This window comes from Homo sapiens, chromosome 1, assembly GCF_000001405.40.
Source record: "Homo sapiens chromosome 1, GRCh38.p14 Primary Assembly".
Classification (NCBI taxonomy): Eukaryota; Metazoa; Chordata; class Mammalia; order Primates; family Hominidae; genus Homo; species Homo sapiens.
The window spans coordinates 61,392,208-61,410,395 of record NC_000001.11 but is presented as its reverse complement, the minus strand read 5'-3'; the positions used below and the strand labels follow the sequence as shown (position 1 = coordinate 61,410,395).

The 18,188-nt window shown below is 40.6% G+C and overlaps 1 protein-coding gene across 4 annotated transcripts in view; it reads right to left on the bottom strand.

Annotated features, from left to right (window-relative positions):
* Positions 1 to 18,188, bottom strand: part of NFIA (nuclear factor I A) — a 385,562-nt gene that overhangs the window by 52,393 nt on the left and 314,981 nt on the right. For all 4 annotated transcript variants that reach the window (NM_001145511.2, NM_001145512.2, NM_001134673.4 and 1 more), the window contains 2 exons: positions 6,114 to 6,292; positions 3,669 to 3,834 (listed from right to left, as the gene is read on the bottom strand). In NM_001145511.2, the coding sequence (NP_001138983.1) occupies positions 3,669 to 3,834; positions 6,114 to 6,292 (345 nt within the window). The remainder of the gene's footprint in view (positions 1 to 3,668; positions 3,835 to 6,113; positions 6,293 to 18,188) is intronic.

Here is an 18,188-nt window from a genome sequence, read left to right as displayed (position 1 = left end):
GTGTGTTTAATTTCTAAGAAAGCACCTGATTTCTGAAACTATAGTTTTGCCCTACATTTTTATCTAGTGGTAATCCAATTTTAGGCCCCCAGCTGGTTTCAGAAGAAAAGTTCTATCTTCTCTTAAGACACCAGGATGTCATCCCTACTGAATAGCTTAGAAGTCAACTCCTCTAAAATACCTTTACCTGGAGGCCCACACTGGACCAAACTCCCTCCCATGTCTTCACATGGCACCTATACACACCTTTATCCCGGTGTCATCCTGTGTAAACTGCCTGTTTACCTTTCCCTCAATAGATCCCCATTTCTTGAGAGCAGGGATCCATCATCTCTGAATCCCACACACTAACACAGCCATGCCGTGTCACAGATGCCTGATAGGTGCAGGCTGAATAAATGAATGAAAAAGGCAGTCATCAAAGATGAATGTTAAGGGAGGGAGAAGCTACTTCACTCCTGATATTTATTCCCTTCCATCTACTCTTGGCTTCTCTCCACCCTCTCACCTGTTACTCTCTAGGTTGTAAGGGCTTCAAAGGAAAAACTGGACATGACTAGTCCCTACCACCCCACCCTGTCTCTTCCTCTTCGGGGACAGGTGCTGGTGGGAAGCACACTGCCACCCGCACCTTCATGCCATCAGCTTTACAGGCTAGGGCGGACCATATGTAGGAAGGGCTGCTGTGGTCTAGTCCTGCCAGCGACCTGGTAGCTATGACGATGTAATTGGGGGTTCAGTGTTAGGAAGTGCCCTGCCCACAGTTATAAACTAAATTCTCTCATAATAAAGGTGATATTTTGTCTTCTGATTTAAAAAAATATTTTATTTATCAATTGGTTTAGAAATCAGGGCATGGGAGACGATATTTTAAAATGAGGGCCCTTAAATCCCCTCCAAATAAGGATGAGTGGGCTTCAAGATTTTTAATTTGAAAGGCTTCTCCTACGCTATAAATTACAGCTCTCCCAGCCTAACACCATCTTGTTAAGAAAGCAGAAAATGGTAAGCAATAGTATGCTGTGAAACTACATATTACTATGAATTCATCATACCCTAGAAAAGCCTTTAGCTGAACAAGGGCTAAAATGAATGATGATAAAAACCTTTCTGTGTCATCGGTAGAACATTTTGTTTTGTCTATATTTCTAGAATCCCATGATTCAAAAAGTAAGTATCAAATTATCTGTATCAAGCTCTGGGACTCTTTCTCCTGATATTCTCTCACCCCCACCCCACCCCAAATCTTAAGTGCTGCTCTAACATGCAACCATATGAGTTGGATCTGCCAAGACTCCTTCTGCCCTTTGCCCCTTAGTGCTGACAAGATGCTTGAGGCTGGGCACAAGAGGATGATAGGTATCATCTTATACATAGCACTTGGTTCAATCCACGGAGTGGAGTCTAGAACTGTGGACCCAAAGGCATCAACTCAATTTAGGGGTTGAGTAGCTTCTCCAAGTCCTACAGATATATTTTACCATTACCCAAGCCTGGAGTCTTCCACTATGTAAGAGTTTGGGCAGATAATAAAATACTCCAATGATCAGAACTGATCTCACAACAAACATGCCAGGTAGATATTATCATCTACATTTTATAGAAGAGGAAATTGATTCAAAGAGAAACACAGTTAGTAATTTGAAAGGTGGGCATTTGAGCCCCCATCCTTTAGACTTGAACAGCCACACATTACTATTTCCACTCTTCTGCTGTGCCTCAGCAGAGCCTCATTCCCGTTACTGAAAAACTCATTAGGACACACGAGCCATTGAGAGTGGAGGTGAGGATCTGTTTCCACGGAATTGATTGCATATTACTATGCAGCTTTTAAAAGACTGTGGCAATGTCCTGCACAGACAGAGAGAAGACGAGCAGAAAATGGTATGCAGAGGCATGGACAGGGCACAGTAGGCATAATCTGTAAGCCAACATCCTCAAGGAACAGATGTAAGTAGAGTCTGGGGCAGTTATTTCTCTGACTTGTTTAAAGATGTTACATAAATACACAACGAGCAGGGCACTTATTGTGTATTTATGTGACATCTTTGAACAAGCCTCAAACCTCTGAGAAGCAGAGGCTTTCCTTCTAAGCTGAGCTTCTAAGATCCATGGGCCAAGCCCAGCTTGCTTCTCTGTCATTGGACACTGAGGGTTTTCTCCTTTGTTGACAAGTGTTGAATCACCTCTTACCAAGAGAAGTAGGTCTTCCCTAGATTGCCCCTGAACCTTCAATCTTTTGGCTATTGATACAGAATCTATGCACAGTGCTGCTCATTTCTGCATATATTATCAAAATGCATAAATACTGGATAACCCAAAGCTCACTCTCTGATGTGTCCATGAGGGCCTCTAGCCATCTGGATTCCGTGCCCCCAGAATCAAATTCTATGAACATGGCATAAACAGGGGCTCAGTTTTCTTCTTTGTCTCTTTCCCTCCTGTATTCACTATCATTATTATTCCAATACTGAAGGTAAGGAAGCTGAGAGGCCTAGAATCTTCATTCACCGCATTCATCCAGAGGACTGTCCAATCCCGATGCTTATGTCTACAAAACACTCCCCACCATGTCCCGTTCCATTCTACACCTATTACTGTGGTTCAAGTTCTTGGCCTTAACACTCCTTTCCTATGCTGCTCTTACATCCTTTCCTCTGTAGATTCCTTGCCTCAGTCTCACTTCTTTTGACAACCCCCTTGAAGGCTTTCCTTAGGGTCACACTGCCACAGCTCCTATCCTTCTCTTATACTTTGCTGCCTCTTTACAGCTTTAGGGAAGGTGCTCATCACACCATCTATCAAGGCTAGGGCATCCATCACCTAGGAACTCCAGCCATCACTCTTTTTGTCATTATTCCAGGCACTAATAAAAGGCACATTTGTGCATTCAAACTATTTCTATCCCCTTGCCATATCTAAAACATCAGGGAATATCTGGAGAATTACTCTCTCTCTAGTTCAAGTAATCATTCCCATCATCTAAAAGGGTTGTGAAATCTTATATTCTTTGATTAAATGTTCTCAGACTGTTCAGAGAAGAGCCAAGACTTCTCTCCTCCTTCCATCCTACTCTCCCCTCTATCTCCGTACCCCAGCCCCTACCCCAACCTCTGCCAAACCTCACCATGCGACTGCCAGGGCTACTAGCATTGATCTTCTGCCAGGCTCTTACTCTCAGCGAATGGTCAGTGTACACACCTTTGAGTTGGTGCTTTGATCTAGACATTTTCTCCTATTTGATGTATGAGGTATATAACTTTCAAGTGCATTTCTCTTAGACTGCAAGTTCCTGGAAGGCAGGGCTGTCTGTAAGAATGAGGAACTTTTTCTAAGCAGAATCCATGTAAGTAGCTGCTGCTTGATGATGGGAATAGCATTTGAAATCCCTCAAATAATATACAAAATGTAATAGCTCATAACTTGACTTCAGTCCTAGGTATGTAGCTACACCATCTCATCCACCCAACACCCAGTGTTTTCCTCATCTGGTGGAGTACCCAAGAGTCATGTTCACTTTGATTCTCGGTCTGGCAAACTCATGCTACAACATCACTGGGGATCTGTGCCTCTTTCTAGAGCCTATACAGTGAGGGACAAAGCCTAAGTGTGGATTCCAGTGCATACAGCTTTAGAAGTGACCGGCGCCTTGTCGCAGCCATACTTACTTGGTGACGTGGGGGAGGCTGCACCTCCTTCTGTTGACGTGGTTGGAGGCTTTGTGTCTGGCACCGGCAGAGGCACAGGCCTGGCCATCGGTGGTGGCGGTGGCGGTGGCAACATTGGGGTGGGAAGGAATGGGTTGTGCACCTTGCCTTGGCTGCTCCCATTGGGCTGTGGGGGGGGGGGGGGCAGAAAACACACGTACAAGAAAAAGAAGAAAGAGACAGCAACCATTAGCTGCTTCTGAAAACAAAATATTCATCAGGCACCTTTAATGTAAATTACTAAGTATCTAGCTGCTTCAATTCTTCCATAAGCCCATACGGAAATGTCCATTGTTGGGTTCTGTTCTTAAGGCATTTCACAAAAGTACTCTTAGCCACATGTGCTCCATGCATCCTAAACTTATCTCTTGAACTACATTGTCCTTCTTTGCATCTGGTTTCATAAAATCACCTGCCAATTATCACTTTGGATTTGTCCCCTGAGTAACCAACTTTTGCTTGGAATCTTTTGTATTTTTCTGTATTAACTGCTACCTTCATTATCTTTCTCATGATTATTAAATATTTAATATCTAAGTGTTTTATGGACTGTGGCATTATTCCACTATGTTTCTTTACATAGATAGAATAAATTTTCCTAAATATGCACTTGAGATAAAAAAGTAATATTTTATTTTCACTCTTCAAAGTTGATATTATATAACATTTAATAAATGTGTTAAGTGAACATAGAAAATTTTGTTCACATATTGTATAACATCAGGCACAGAAACTTTAGAATTCAGCTGTCAGAAGTCTGCTAGGGAAAAATATCACTTCTAATTTTGATTTAAATTATATAAGCATATGCCATAAGAGTCATATTTATTTTGCTGCCTGATGTTAAAACAACCAAATAACAGCTCTTTAACAAAAAATTCCCCTCCAAAGAGAGCAATAAAACCCATTTTATTTTCAATTTTTTCAAAATAGTTTCATGAAGAGACCTGCCTTAAGTCCTATAAAATTCTGATCAAAATGCAAAACTGGGCATTTGACAGTTATATAGGGTGTCAGGACTATTACAAAAATGGTTAATAATTTAGAAGTCAGATGCTTGATGCTGGTGATCAGCTCAGTTTTTTCATTGTTTCCCAAGAGGCCTCTATTCAACCAACGACAACAGTTCACATTTAGTCCCCAATCAAAATTCGGTTGAAGGAGATTCTGCTGTCCCAGGCTTTTACATTTAAGCTTAATAATTCTACAGAGGCAGTCTCACTCCCCCATCAACATTTACTTATATATTTAGTACTTATATATTTAGTATTGCTCCTCAAAGACTACCTCGTCTGACGATCAGAATGCTGTGCTTTCTTGCCAGCAACCTTGCCTTTGCGTTATTTCTGAGTGGGCTGAGAGTCCATAAGTGAATGCTTTAGAATAAGCCAAGCAAATGAATGTACAAGCAAAAAGAAAAGAGGCACCATATTGATTTGTTGTCTAGACAGAAATGTATCTGCTAACACATCACCAGACATTAGTCAAAGCTGCCTGTTCTGGCGCAGATATGCAGAATCAGGTATTTCTGCAAGTGAAAAAAATCGGTGACAGGATGGTGTGACATACTATCCTAAATTGGCCAGTAATAATTATGGCTAGTCTGTGACTTCATGCACAGTTATTAGTAGAAAAGGAAAATCAAATTTGGCTTTATGCTGGTCGTTGTTTATTATTATTGGCCTTGAGATACAGCTTTCCACTGTAAACATCTAATCCTATATTTGAAATAAAATTTCTGATTTTTAAAAATCACTTTTACATTTGGAATGCCATTTCAAATTGTGATTATTTGGTTTATTTGAGGAAAAATAAAAACATTCATGTGAAGCTATTGAACACTGTTTAGCTTTATACCAAGATAAGTGGGAAAGATAATGACTTGCAGAAATAACAAACCATAATAAACTGTACTTTCAGCATCTTGAGTTCAAGTACTGGTCAACTTGATCTAAAGTGTTACAAGACTGTATTTTTCAAAAATATCAACTTAGTTGATCTGAAACATCTGTCCCCTTCATCTCCCTACCTTTCTCTACCACCCCAAATCATTATTTAAAACTACTTGGTCTTTCTATTTTGTTAACTGTATGAGCCCTGGGGTTAGAATGCACGAGGTGGAATGATCAGCCCACAGAACTTAGAAGGTTATATAGTTCACCCTTGAGCTGATTTATATCCATAAACTTGACAGTTGCAAACTTAACACAAACACTGTTTTTAAACCCTGACTAATCACTCTTAGACCAAGTTAACTTTCCCACAATCTAGAATAAATATGACATTTGCCTGCAGTCAGTCAGCACAACATTAGAGCACAACGTCACATGATCATAAGGTCTCCCCTTGTTATTTTTATATTCGGCTAACATTTCTAAAGAAATGGAAAAAAAGAGGTTTCCTTACATTGAGGAACCCCACCTGTCCAGCCTGCTGACCAGCATCAGGGCAGACAAGTTGGACAAATTCTTTCAGCGTCTCCTGAGGGTGATAGCGGATGGCTGGGTGTGAGAAGTAAGGCCCAGGCTGCTGGATAATGGGTGATGTCGGGAAATGAAGAGTCGATGGTGTTGCATGCGGACTTGCTGCAGGAAAAGAAAACATCAGGGTTATGAAAAGAAAGACCTGCTTTGTCATAGCTGAACCCGATTCAACTTCCTCCTTTATTTCTCTTCCTGGCCCGATTCACAATATTGCTCATGTGACTGAATTTAACACTGGATAGGTCTGACAGATTTTCTTCCTTAAGGCTCTAAGACAAACACGGAGGTTAGATTAGGGTAGAGTTTCAAGCTGTCTTTCTATTTTCAGTGGACATGAGTTATAAAGGCATTAATAATCCTTGGTGAGGCTGAAGATTATTCATTACCTTAAGAGCCTTTTTAATGAAGCAAGCAATAAAAAATGTATTTGGTAGATTAGACCTGACTTAACTGACATTACATATGACAAATTCTAGTTTGCACATATGGATCCCCTTTCACGCTGAGCTATCCATAGACAATAATTCATTGTTAAACCTCTTATACCCCTTTCAAGGAAATTTCTAGGGACTAATTCAGGATGAAAATTTTTTGAAGTATGTAGTAAATGATCACTTAATGAGCCCATGCAATTTGGGTGCCTCACTTTACACGGATGGTTTATGTCGCCTTCAGATGCCATTTCAAAGACAAACTCAGAAATGCACATATGTTACAGCAGGGGAACCCACAGGGTAAGCAGGCAGTGACCCCTGCTAAAATGTTGGCCCTGTGCCCATAAAAACTGATAAAAGACTCAGACAACTACTGCTCCCTTACATTTGAACCCTGGTAAATTTCATGTGAACAAGAAGATTACATTAGATTAAAAAAACTTATGTGAGGTGCCTAATAACTTCTCTAAGAGAACTTTTGCCCTTGAATTAGAAGGATGATTGATAAAACTGGCTGGAGGATAAGAGCAGTGCATGGGAAGGTTGCAGATATTCAAACCAAGTCAAGCCAAGATAGCAGCAGCTCTTGCTTCTCAATGAGAGCCAGAGAAACCTCTCCCAAATTAGAGGAGATGAAAGTATTTATCTTTCCTTTCTTCGGTTTAAATCTTTAAACTGAAAATCACAGGAATGTCCACATTTTGGAAAATAAGACCTTTCCAATACCAAGAATGACTCATAATACTGAAGAGAAACTCAGTAAGACAGGCCATCACTTCTACCACTATCCCACTTGCATGGCTAAAGGCTGTGAAAAAGAATGCATCTGTATTAGTTGCTGGGCATAGGTTCTTTGTTCCCTACCGGGATCTCCTCATGATTGGGGCACTTTCTGACTAATGACTGAAATGGCTCATGCTATGGGGTTCAGAGTGACATCTGTAGTTTTCAAAAAGACTGGAAATGGGCGATTGGAGGGGAAGCAACTTTCCAATCCATGTCTTGCAGGTGGTCTGGTGCAACCCTTTAATTTATGCAATCTTTAATCTGCCCAATAAATATTCATAGGCTCCTACTATGGGCTCAAGAAACAAATCTGAGCCAAAACAGATGAAATTTTGCCATCGGTCATACAATTGAGGATGTCTCAAACATAACCTATTTGAATCAGAATTTTCATTACCTTCTCCTCTCAAGCTTACACTTCTCCCAGCCTTCTCCATCTTCGTAAATACCTTTTCAACCCACTGCAATATCCCCAGAACTGAGTCTGGCACTCAATAAATATTTGTTGAATGTGCAGTGAATGACTGAATAAACAGAGGTTAATAAGATAATCATACCGTTAAACATAGAATAAAATTTGCTAAAACCAAAACTTGGTTTCTCCACCTGGTCAAGAGCCAGGGAGCTTTTAGAAAAATCGGTAAAACTGGCCTGGTACGGTGGCTCATGCCTGTAATCCCAGCAATTTGGGAGGCTGAGGCAGGCGGATCATGAGGTTAGGGGATTGAGACCACCCTGGGTAACACGGTGAAACCCCATCTCTACTAAAAATACAAAAAAATTAGCCAGGTGTGGTGGTGGGTGCCTGTAGTTCCAGCTACTCCAAAGGCTGAGGCAGGAGAATGGCATGAACCTGGGAGGCGGATCTTGCAATGAGCCGAGATCGCGCCACTGCACTCTAGCCTGGGCGACAGAGGGAGACTCCGTCTCAAAAAAAAAAAAAAAAAAAAAAGAAAAATGAGTAAAACTTAGGACTTCCTGCAATGAATGATAAATCTTGGGATCTATTGTTGTTGCTTGTTAAAACCCACAAGCTAAAAAGTTAAATGGCTCTGGTCATCTCTTACTCTGCAAATTATGCCATTGGCTTTCAAGAATCAAAGGAATTTTTTCATCCAACATGGTACAGTCCTCCTTGCTGGTGGCAAAAAACTTGTACTCGGTACCCTGCGTCTGATGGAATAGTCACTAGTTAAGGACAGAATGTGATATTTCCCAAACTAGGCTGAGAATATACTGAGCCTAACAAAACGAAACACTCAACTTTTGCAGAATGCCAAACACAAAGGTGCCAATTCTGCTGACAAGAGCCCCTGGTAGGCTGACCTTGAAGATAAAGTGCCGCTGCCTCAGGTGCTCAATGGAAAGTGATGGGTAATTGTTAGATTATGAAATCACGGTGGCCTACAGAAAATGCTGCCCAAAAAAGAAATTCACTTGAGCAAAGATCAAGCAGAGCTGATCTTTAAAGAAATGAGATAGAAGAAATAACTCAAAAGCACCCTGTCATCTCCTCATTAACTGTTATAAACATCCTTTCCCTCATTTTGTTGTTGTTAAATACGTAAAAGACAATCATTAGCAACTTAAATTTAGACCTTCGTTTTTTATTTTACTAAAAACAATTTATTCACCATTTCCTTGTGGAACAGAGTTTAACACAAACACAAGAACATATGGTACTATATGGAATTAATTCTACAATGACTGATTTATAAGAATCAATTAATTCTTAATTAATACCAGGAAATCATTTAGCCTGTAGTTTCAAATTGGGCAATTGCTGAGTCTGCATTTTAAAGGGTCATCCTTTGCAACCCTTACTTTCTCATGCTTTGGACTTTCTGGTTCAGTCATCAGTTCACTGTGCAACTGGAGAGAAATCATTCGAGATCCTGAACCTTCATTTCTTCAAACAGAAAATAGTTACGTTACTGACATCACAAAGCTCTAGTTATTATTAAATAGATGCTATTTCTCTAGATAACCTGCTATTCCTCTTCTACCAGACAATGAAACCCACTGAAACTCAGAATTAAGATGTCATCAATGCCTGCCTAACTTTGTTTCTCTTCTCTCCTATTTCTTGTTTTCTCTCTTCATCTTGGATGTTTTTACTGTACCTAAGTTTTTATTTGTCTCAAATCATTTTAGAAAGAGCCACTGGGGTTAAATCAATTAAAGAGTAAAATTCATCAACTATATTTTGAGGTGGCCAGATCAGGCTTTATAGAAAAAAACTACCATTATGAATTTGGCATGATGCTAATGGAATGCACGAAGAATGGTATGAGTCCAGATTTTTGACGAAGAAAAACATGTCTTATGGATGTGTGTGTGTGAGTAGTTGACACCATAAAAAATTATAGCACATTATGTAAATGCATATTTAGATCCTTTAAAATGTGCATTATTTACTTGAGAGTCAATAAAGGCTTTTCTCAAGTGGTTACAGTTTATTGCAGTGCATCCATCTGTATCCACATTGATGTTAATACAATTTTGTGTATTAAAAGACACTACAAAATTGGCTGCTTCCGGCATCTAATACTCTTAGTACCCTAGGCCAGGAGCAGCAGAGAGTGTCAGAAACACTTCACTCCTGATGGATCTCACTACTAGTTTAAACTTTAACGAGTGGCCAGACTTGTTTAAAACAACTGTTTGGGCTTTTCACAAAGAATATAAATAAGATGGGAAGGAAGGAAATTTGATCAGGTTTCTTTGGCTGCAATGGCACTGCCTACACATCCTGAACAAAGTAGCCACAACGAAAAGAAACAGAGAGCCACAATTTCCCAAAGGGTGTAATACTCAGCTATTTATTACAAAATGATCATATTACTGGATACTTTGAAAAACGAAAGCAGGTCAGTCAGGTTGGTTTACTTGTTCATTCCCTCCCCACCAGTCCAGCAGCCCACCAGTTCTTAAAAATCCTCTCTTGGTTTTAGTTTAAAGGAGAAAAAGTTAAAAATTCAAACAATTGAAAAAATACATATACATGTTTAACTCAAAAATGCTTCTTCCGTTAAAAGCAGAATTTATTAAGACTGAGAAAGGAGAAGGTCAGGATCATTATTGTATTATTGGATATGTTGCAAGACTTCTATAATACAACCAGTGATTCTTGGTCTGAGAGTCCACTATGGGGAGGAGGTCTTGTAGACACATAAGAGTGCTCTTAAGAGGAGTCAGAACTAGTTAGAAAATCTAAGCGTGGGCCATATGAAATAGGATGGTATCAGGGAGCTGTGTCCAGACAAGCTTGGAATCTTGCATTTTTCTGCTTTTATAAGTCTTAGGGAAGAAAAAGAGATAGAAGAAGAAAGTAATCTCTTAGTATTTCCAGTAGTTTTTCTCAAGCTCATCCTCCAAGAACTCTAATAACTCTCACACATTTTCCCTCAAACCAAAATTTTATGGGTTGAAATATGTTCTTCTGTATTATAACCCTGACATTGCCTTAATTGTTTTATTCCTTGTCCATGAACCGTTGCAGATTCTCACACACTGGACAGAGACTTGGATTCTTTTCACGTTAGCTTTTGCTTTCTGGCATCAGCCTTTAAATCCCAGTCTCTCTTCTATGGGAGGCTCCAAAGAAAAGCTGTCAAGAGAGCAACACAAACAATAAAATATAATCCTCCTTCAGGCACAGTGTGCTCTTAAGGCAGTGTTATATACAGGCTTCTTCCCTCACAAGAGCGAATAATCACTCCTGAGCCCTGGCATCTGCAAAACTTCACAGTCTTAGTGTTAATGAATACAAAGGCAGTGGCAACAGGTGAGATTCCAAACAGTTTTTCTCTGTTAGCGCCATTATAAGAAAAACCTTCTTATCTGTCTTCAGAAATAAGATGTTCTTTAGATGAAAGTTACCACTTCCATAGCGTAAGGGTGGCATTAAGAACTCTTGACTACTCATAATTAGAAGTAAAAATTTGTAATACGGCAAAGCTTCAAAAGGAAAAGAAAATCGAAGAAAAAAATCCCACTTAAAAAACAAAAGAAGCTTTCCATAAGGGTAAATAGAACATAAAAATGGCTTGGGTTGTCAACTACTATGTATCTTGCTTCTTCAGAAATTCAAAACCACACTATATAACACCATTATACCCCACCTAAAGCTGAGAAATCTATCTTAATGGTCCATAGCCCTAATTTATAAATCATGCATGAATCAGGCCTGCCATTGATGAAAGCTGAGAAGTTTGGAGTTAAGGGATTTATTTTAACAGAGATACAGGAAAGAAGAATTGGCAATGCTTTTCAAACCTTTAAGAGGTGATGCCTTTTCTAAATAACAAAGCTTTTGACTCGAGGTGAGCCAAGGTTTTTCAAAACATATGGTACATATCTTTTAACATCACGAAGATGCACGTGAAAGGACCCAGATATGTCAATTGAGAGAAATATATGACATGGCTTGACAGCTTGCAAAACACCAGTGTTTTTGTATTACTGCTACCAGACAAAGTAACTTTATGCCACGGTTAGTTTCCAAGATGGTTGATAGAGTCTATTCCATTTGAATTCAGGGGATTTTCTAAGAGATCAAATTCTAATGTCTTTTGGAAAAACAGAAAGAAAAAGAAAGACCCACACAAGAAAACAGAAGGCCAAAGTCTTTTAAAATTTTTATCTAGATCAATTTTAGCTACTTCAAGACCTTTGTTGCTCAAGGCCCTGACTAGACCAGGAGTTGGCAAACATTTTCTGTAAAGACCAGATACTAAATAGTTTAGACTTTGCAGGCTATATGGTCTCTGTTGCAACTGCTGAACTCCGCTGCTACAGTGCAGAAGCAGTCACAGACATTACATAAACAAATGAGCGCGGCTGTGTTCCAATAAAAGTTTATTTTCAAATACAGGCAAAGGGCTATTGGATCTGTGGGCCCAATAGTTTTCCAGTCCCTGGTGTAGACCCACAAAATTCTTGTTCACTCTCCAAGCACCTGCTGTGCTCTGTGAGTCAGACCCCTGACAGTCAATACCAATTCCACCTCAGCTTTCTGAAGCTTTCCAAAGCAATCTGGTCACCTTTGATATCTCATTAACTCTCCACGGTAGACTTTTGATTGTCTGTCTTCACCATTACTTAATATGCCTTGGTCTGTGCTGGCTGACCACATCCGTGTGTGTGCGTATATAATTCTAAGTTAAACATACGACTCAGAAAAGCAGTGCAGTATAATATAAGGACCAGGGCTTTGGAGTCAGATAGACATGAGTTTAAATTCTAAGCTCTATCACGAGCTATGCTTCAGGTTGCTGAGCTTCTCTACAACTCAGTTTTGGCATCTGTATAATGGGGCTAATAATACCTCATAGCGCTGTTGTGAAGACTAAATGAGACAATGTATATAAGGCACACGGCACAGTTTCTGATCACACAATTAAGTGATCAATAGCTTCTTTTGTAGTATGATAGTACTATCATAGACAAGAATGGGATAGGCAATGAATACATTGAAATTTGCTCCTGTGTGCTAGGACCTGTTCTGATTGTAGAATACATGAAAGAAAGGAGTGATGGAACAAGAGGTACTTGTTGCTCGCCTGTCTCTTGGACAAAAAAGTACATAAATATTGATAAAATAGTATATACTATCAGCATGGATATGACATGAGGGCCTTGAAAATAATTCCACAAACAACAAAATGAAAAGTAAAAGCAACAACAGCAGTAGCAACAATCTTGACCTAATAATCATAGATACCATAGATATCTAAGTAAAGATAAAAGTTCTTTAAAGACCTAGACAAATAGTCTTTGCTGACCAAACATACTGTGAATTCCTGCCTTTACTTAAATTTCAGACTGTGAGATTTAACCCAGAAGCTTAGAACTATGGGGCCATCTCCCTTTAGATGCTATTTTTCACTTAGACCTACAATCCTTGAGTGTCCATACTGACCTCCCTCTTCACCACGTAGGCCCCTGCCAACCGGGCATTATTATTATTATTTTTTTTTTTGGAGACAGAGTCTCACTCTGTCACCTAGGATGGAGTGCAGTGGCGCAATCTCGGCTCACTGCAACCTCCACCTTCTGGGTTCAAGCAATTCTCCTGCCTTAGCCTCCCGAGTAGCTGGGACTACAGGTGCCTACCATCACACTTGGCTAATTTTTGAATTTTTTTAGTAGAGATGGGGTTTCACCACGTTGCCCAGCGTGGTCTTGAACTCCTGAGCTCAGGCAATCTACCTGCCTCGGCCTCCCCAAGTGCTAGGATTACAGGCATGAGCCACTGTGCCTGGCCCCCAGGCACGTTTCTGACCACACCACAATCTGAGCATGGCCTCCCCACGGCCTCCCAAAACATGGAAACAGTGGAAATCTCTATCATTTCCCTTGAAAGTCCCATCGTGTTAGTTATTGGGAGTTTGCTTATCAGAAATCTAATACATATTGACTACTAGAAATACTTTTCGGCTGGGTGTGATGGCTCACACCTGTAACCCCAGCTACTCAGAAGGCTGAGGCAGGAGAATCACTCGAGCCCAGGAGTTTGAGACCACCCTGGGCAACACAGTGAGATTTCATCTCTACAAAAAATTTTAAAAATGTAGCCAGGTGTGGTGGCAGGTGCCTGTAATTCCAGCTACTTGGAGGCTGAGGTGGGAGGATTGCTTAATCCCAGGAGTTTGAGGCTGCAGTGAGCCATGATCACACCACTGCACTCTAGCCTGGGTGACAGAGCAAGACCCTATATCTAAAAAACCAACCAACAAACAAAAAAACAGTAACAAAAACAAATGCTTTTCAGAAGATCTAGGGCATTTTTTAGGAATATTTTCAGACTAGATAAAGAGACTTGGGTTTTAACTTAGTTTCTGCCACTACCTGGCATATTATAAATGTGGGTGGCTTCTCTCTCCCTAGGTCTCTCTTCTCACAGTAAGCAGCTTGGACTAAATACTCTCTGAAGCTCATCTAGTTTAAGCTCTAGTGGATGTATAGAATTCAGTCTCTGGGATTACATTTACAAATAGTACAACTGATCCATAAAAATAAAATTAAAATCTAAAAATTGAAATAAGGAAGGCTTTTAAAACAAATGATTTTAAAAATGTTTATGGGATATTAAGTTGTACAGTATATCTAGACTCAGTCTTTAAGATACTTTGGCTTTGGGGAGACTGTAATATTTAGAGTTTAAAAAAACCTGAGTGTGCTACTTTAAGCTCTGTGAAATACAGCCCCAGCCTTTGTCCTGACAGGGCCTCTTTGAATCAAAATTGACCATATTCTCACACTAATTGCCTAAGCTTCCATGATGGCTGATGTGAAATGTGTTCAAACGCCACGCAACAGCTGTGATTATTGGAAATATTTAGAGTGATGGTTTAATAGGCAAAGTTGACAAGAATCCAGTTACATGAAGGGAACTTGAACTTTTACGTAACATGTAAGCGATACTACTGTGAGACTAAATGAAGAATGAAAAACAAATCAAAACAATTACTTGAGAAGAAAACTAACCACCATAGATTGGATGATTCCAGAGATTAACAGAAAAAGGGAGGGAATCATCCAATGACCTGTTGGAAGTGAAATGGAATTACAAACTGCAGTCCTGTGAAAGAGGACTTCAAAAAACAAGATCCATGCAGATGCTTCTTGCGTAACGACCAAGTGCTGGATCTAGGCTGTTGCAAGTCTTTTCCTGCATTAAAAAAAAAAAAAAACACACACACACACAGAAAATAAGCAGACAGAAAAGCAAATCTCATAACAAACATAAAGCCATGGGTTATTTTGCAGCATTTCTCTCCACCAAATTGTCAGATTTATACTGAAATGGAAGCCTCTATTTCTGTGCAACATGATTACTAAAGCATAGGCTACTTTTCTCTCTCTCTCTCTCTCTGAGACAGGGTTTTGCTCTGTCGCCCAGGCTGGAGGGCAGTGATGCAATCTAGGTTCACTGCAACCTCTGCTTCCCAGGCTCAAGCGATCCTCCCACCTCAGCCTCCCAAGTGGCTGAGACTGCAAGCATGTGCCACCACGCTCGGCTAATTTTTATATTTTTAGTAGAGATGGGGTTTCATTGTCACCCAGGCTGGTTGCAAACTCCTGAACTCAAATGATCCGCCTGCCTTGGTCTCCCAACATGTTGGGATTACAGGTGTGAGCCACCGCTCCCAGCCAAAGACTACTTTCAAGGCATCCTCCTGAACTTGAAGTATCTTCCTGAATTCACCCCATAGGATTTGAGGAGTAATCCTACTGTGGGTAAATTTCACACAAGGAATGGAATAAGCAACAGAATAATCAGTCTAGTGATTAAAGTCAGGGTACCAAGTTTTCATGTCAGCTTGGGTATTGACTAGCAAGACGCCAGCCTCCTATATTCCTTAGTGTCCTCTACTACAAAATGAGCTTGACTCTTCTGGTTGTAAAATCATTCACTCCCTGTGTTAATCTGGGCAAAATTATTTAACATTTCCAAACCTACAGTTTCTTATCTTTAAATTTCTTATCTTTAAATAGTAGCAGCAATTGGTCAGGCATGGTGGCTCACGCCTGTAATCCCAGCACTTTGGGAGGCTAAGGCAGGCAGATCACAAGGTCAGGAGTTTGAGACCAGCCTGGTCAACATGGTGAAACCCCATCTCTACTAAAAATACAAAAAATTAGCCAGGCATGGTGGCGTGTACCTGTAGTCCCAGACACTCAGGAGGCTGAGGTAGGAGAATTGCTTGAACATGGAAGGCAGAGGTTGCAGTGAGCCAAGATCGTGCCACTGCACTCCAGCCTGGGCAACAGAGCAAGACTCTGTCTTGGGTGGGGCAGAGGGGGGTAAGAAAGAATAGCGCAATTTGAAAGGCTTTTCTGAGGATTAGCATTAATGTACACAGGTGCCTCATTCATAGTAGGATCACTCATTCAACAAATGTGTTGAGAATCTACTGTGTGCCAAACAGCATGCTAGACTCTGGGTTATTTAATATTCTTAGGATTGTTTTTAGAATAAATAGAGATACATGAAAAGTAATCTGGATTATACAATGCAATGAGGTAACACCAGCTAATTGAGAATCAAGAGCCGAACTGTTTTCAAGTGACCCTGGGGGTCTGTGGCATGAACAAATAGGCCTGGGTTTTTCTTGTGCTCTGCAAACACTAACTGCAGGAACAAGCCACAGCTAGTGAGTAAGCTGAGCCCATTGGCCAGTGCTCAGGCCAGCTTTGCTGTTATCTCCTGGGGGTAGCTATTATTTTTGCCTGCCCAGCAGTTCTTCACCCCTTCTTCTGGAAACAGAGCTCTAATGTTTCTTTGGGGAACTCTCTGTCCCTCAGCCTCAGCCTATGTGGTTAGGATGGACTTAACCCGCTGACTCCATGGGTGGACAGGGAAGCCGGGTCACACCAATGAGGCACTCCATTGTCTTTTAAACATAAGGGTTATTTTAAAAGTGAGCAAATGACCCAAACCCAGATAATCAGAATCATAAGCATGCAGGAGTAGGCCCTTCCCTAAATCTGTTGTTGAAAAGCTGCTCTTTTTTCTCTTGGGATTATTAAATTGGTGGAAATTAAGGCTGGAGCTGCTCACTGTGGCTATCTGGGCCACAGTCTGAGGATATTTAGCCTAAGCACAAAGCTCACACAGAGAATAGCAGACCTGGGTGCGGGTGGGGTTGGGGAGGGGGAGAGACGGGGAGAGAGGGAGAGAAAGAGGGAGAGAGAGAGAGAGAGAGAGAGAGAGAGAGAGAGAGAGAGAGAGAGGGAGAGGGCGAGGCAGAAGAAACCATTCCACATAAAGAGGAGATACAAGTTCAATCTTGAATTTTTTATTCTATGCTGAAAAAAGGAAAATAAATAATGAGTCTATACATGGAATCAACTTAGGTTAAGCTAAACCAGAAAGAACGGGGCTTATCTGACTACGCAAGGTACAGTCCAAGCGTACGATACCAGGAAGTCTTAAAATGAGGGGGTTTCTAAGAAACCTTGCTCAGAACCACTGCCTTCACTATGTATGGATACGTGGGTCTATGCCTGTGTGTGCCTGTGCGCACACATGCACCACTGGGACACATAGGCCTGCGTGTGACTGAGAGGGACAGAGAGAAAGGGGCAAAGGAATTCCAAGGGAAAGCAGCTTCTTTTGTGAAGATGAGTTTAAATCCAGGTCCCCTGGGTTCATCACCCTATTCTCTTCAGCACTCACCCTGGAGGCCCTTTGCCTCTTTAAGAGATTAAGGAGCCAAGTGGTCTCACTGCTCTAACCTGTCCTCCCAGGGACAACATATTAACATGATTCCACTACGGAAGAGCTCTCTTTAGAAGTTTGCTGCAGGGATGACAAATTAACCCAGCAGGGTGTCCCACACATCTATCACAGTACAAATTATTAGTGTAATAGAGCTTTTAGTTGTGCATTTATCTAGTAATTATTGAACGTTACACAAACCCAAGCTGAGCAGCCATGGCTCTTTATGAGGGTGGCTCGGTGGGTGGCCTTACAGTTAATTTAGGATAGTTCCACTAGGCAGTTCACTTGCAGACAAATTAGCTAAACAGCCTTCTCCTTTAAATATTTTCCATGTCACAGTGAAACTCTTTACAATACAATAAAGGTACAGTTTTAATTACACGCTTCCTGACTTTTGTTTAGTTGTAGTTTTAAAACATTTGCTGGCACTCTTTTTTTCCTTTGGCTGGGCAGTAATAGCTGGTTCTAAGTATCTGGCTAATGAATTTAATAATTTCCTGAACTGGGACTTAAAGGACCTCTGCAAAAAAAAAAGAAAAAAGCTGCT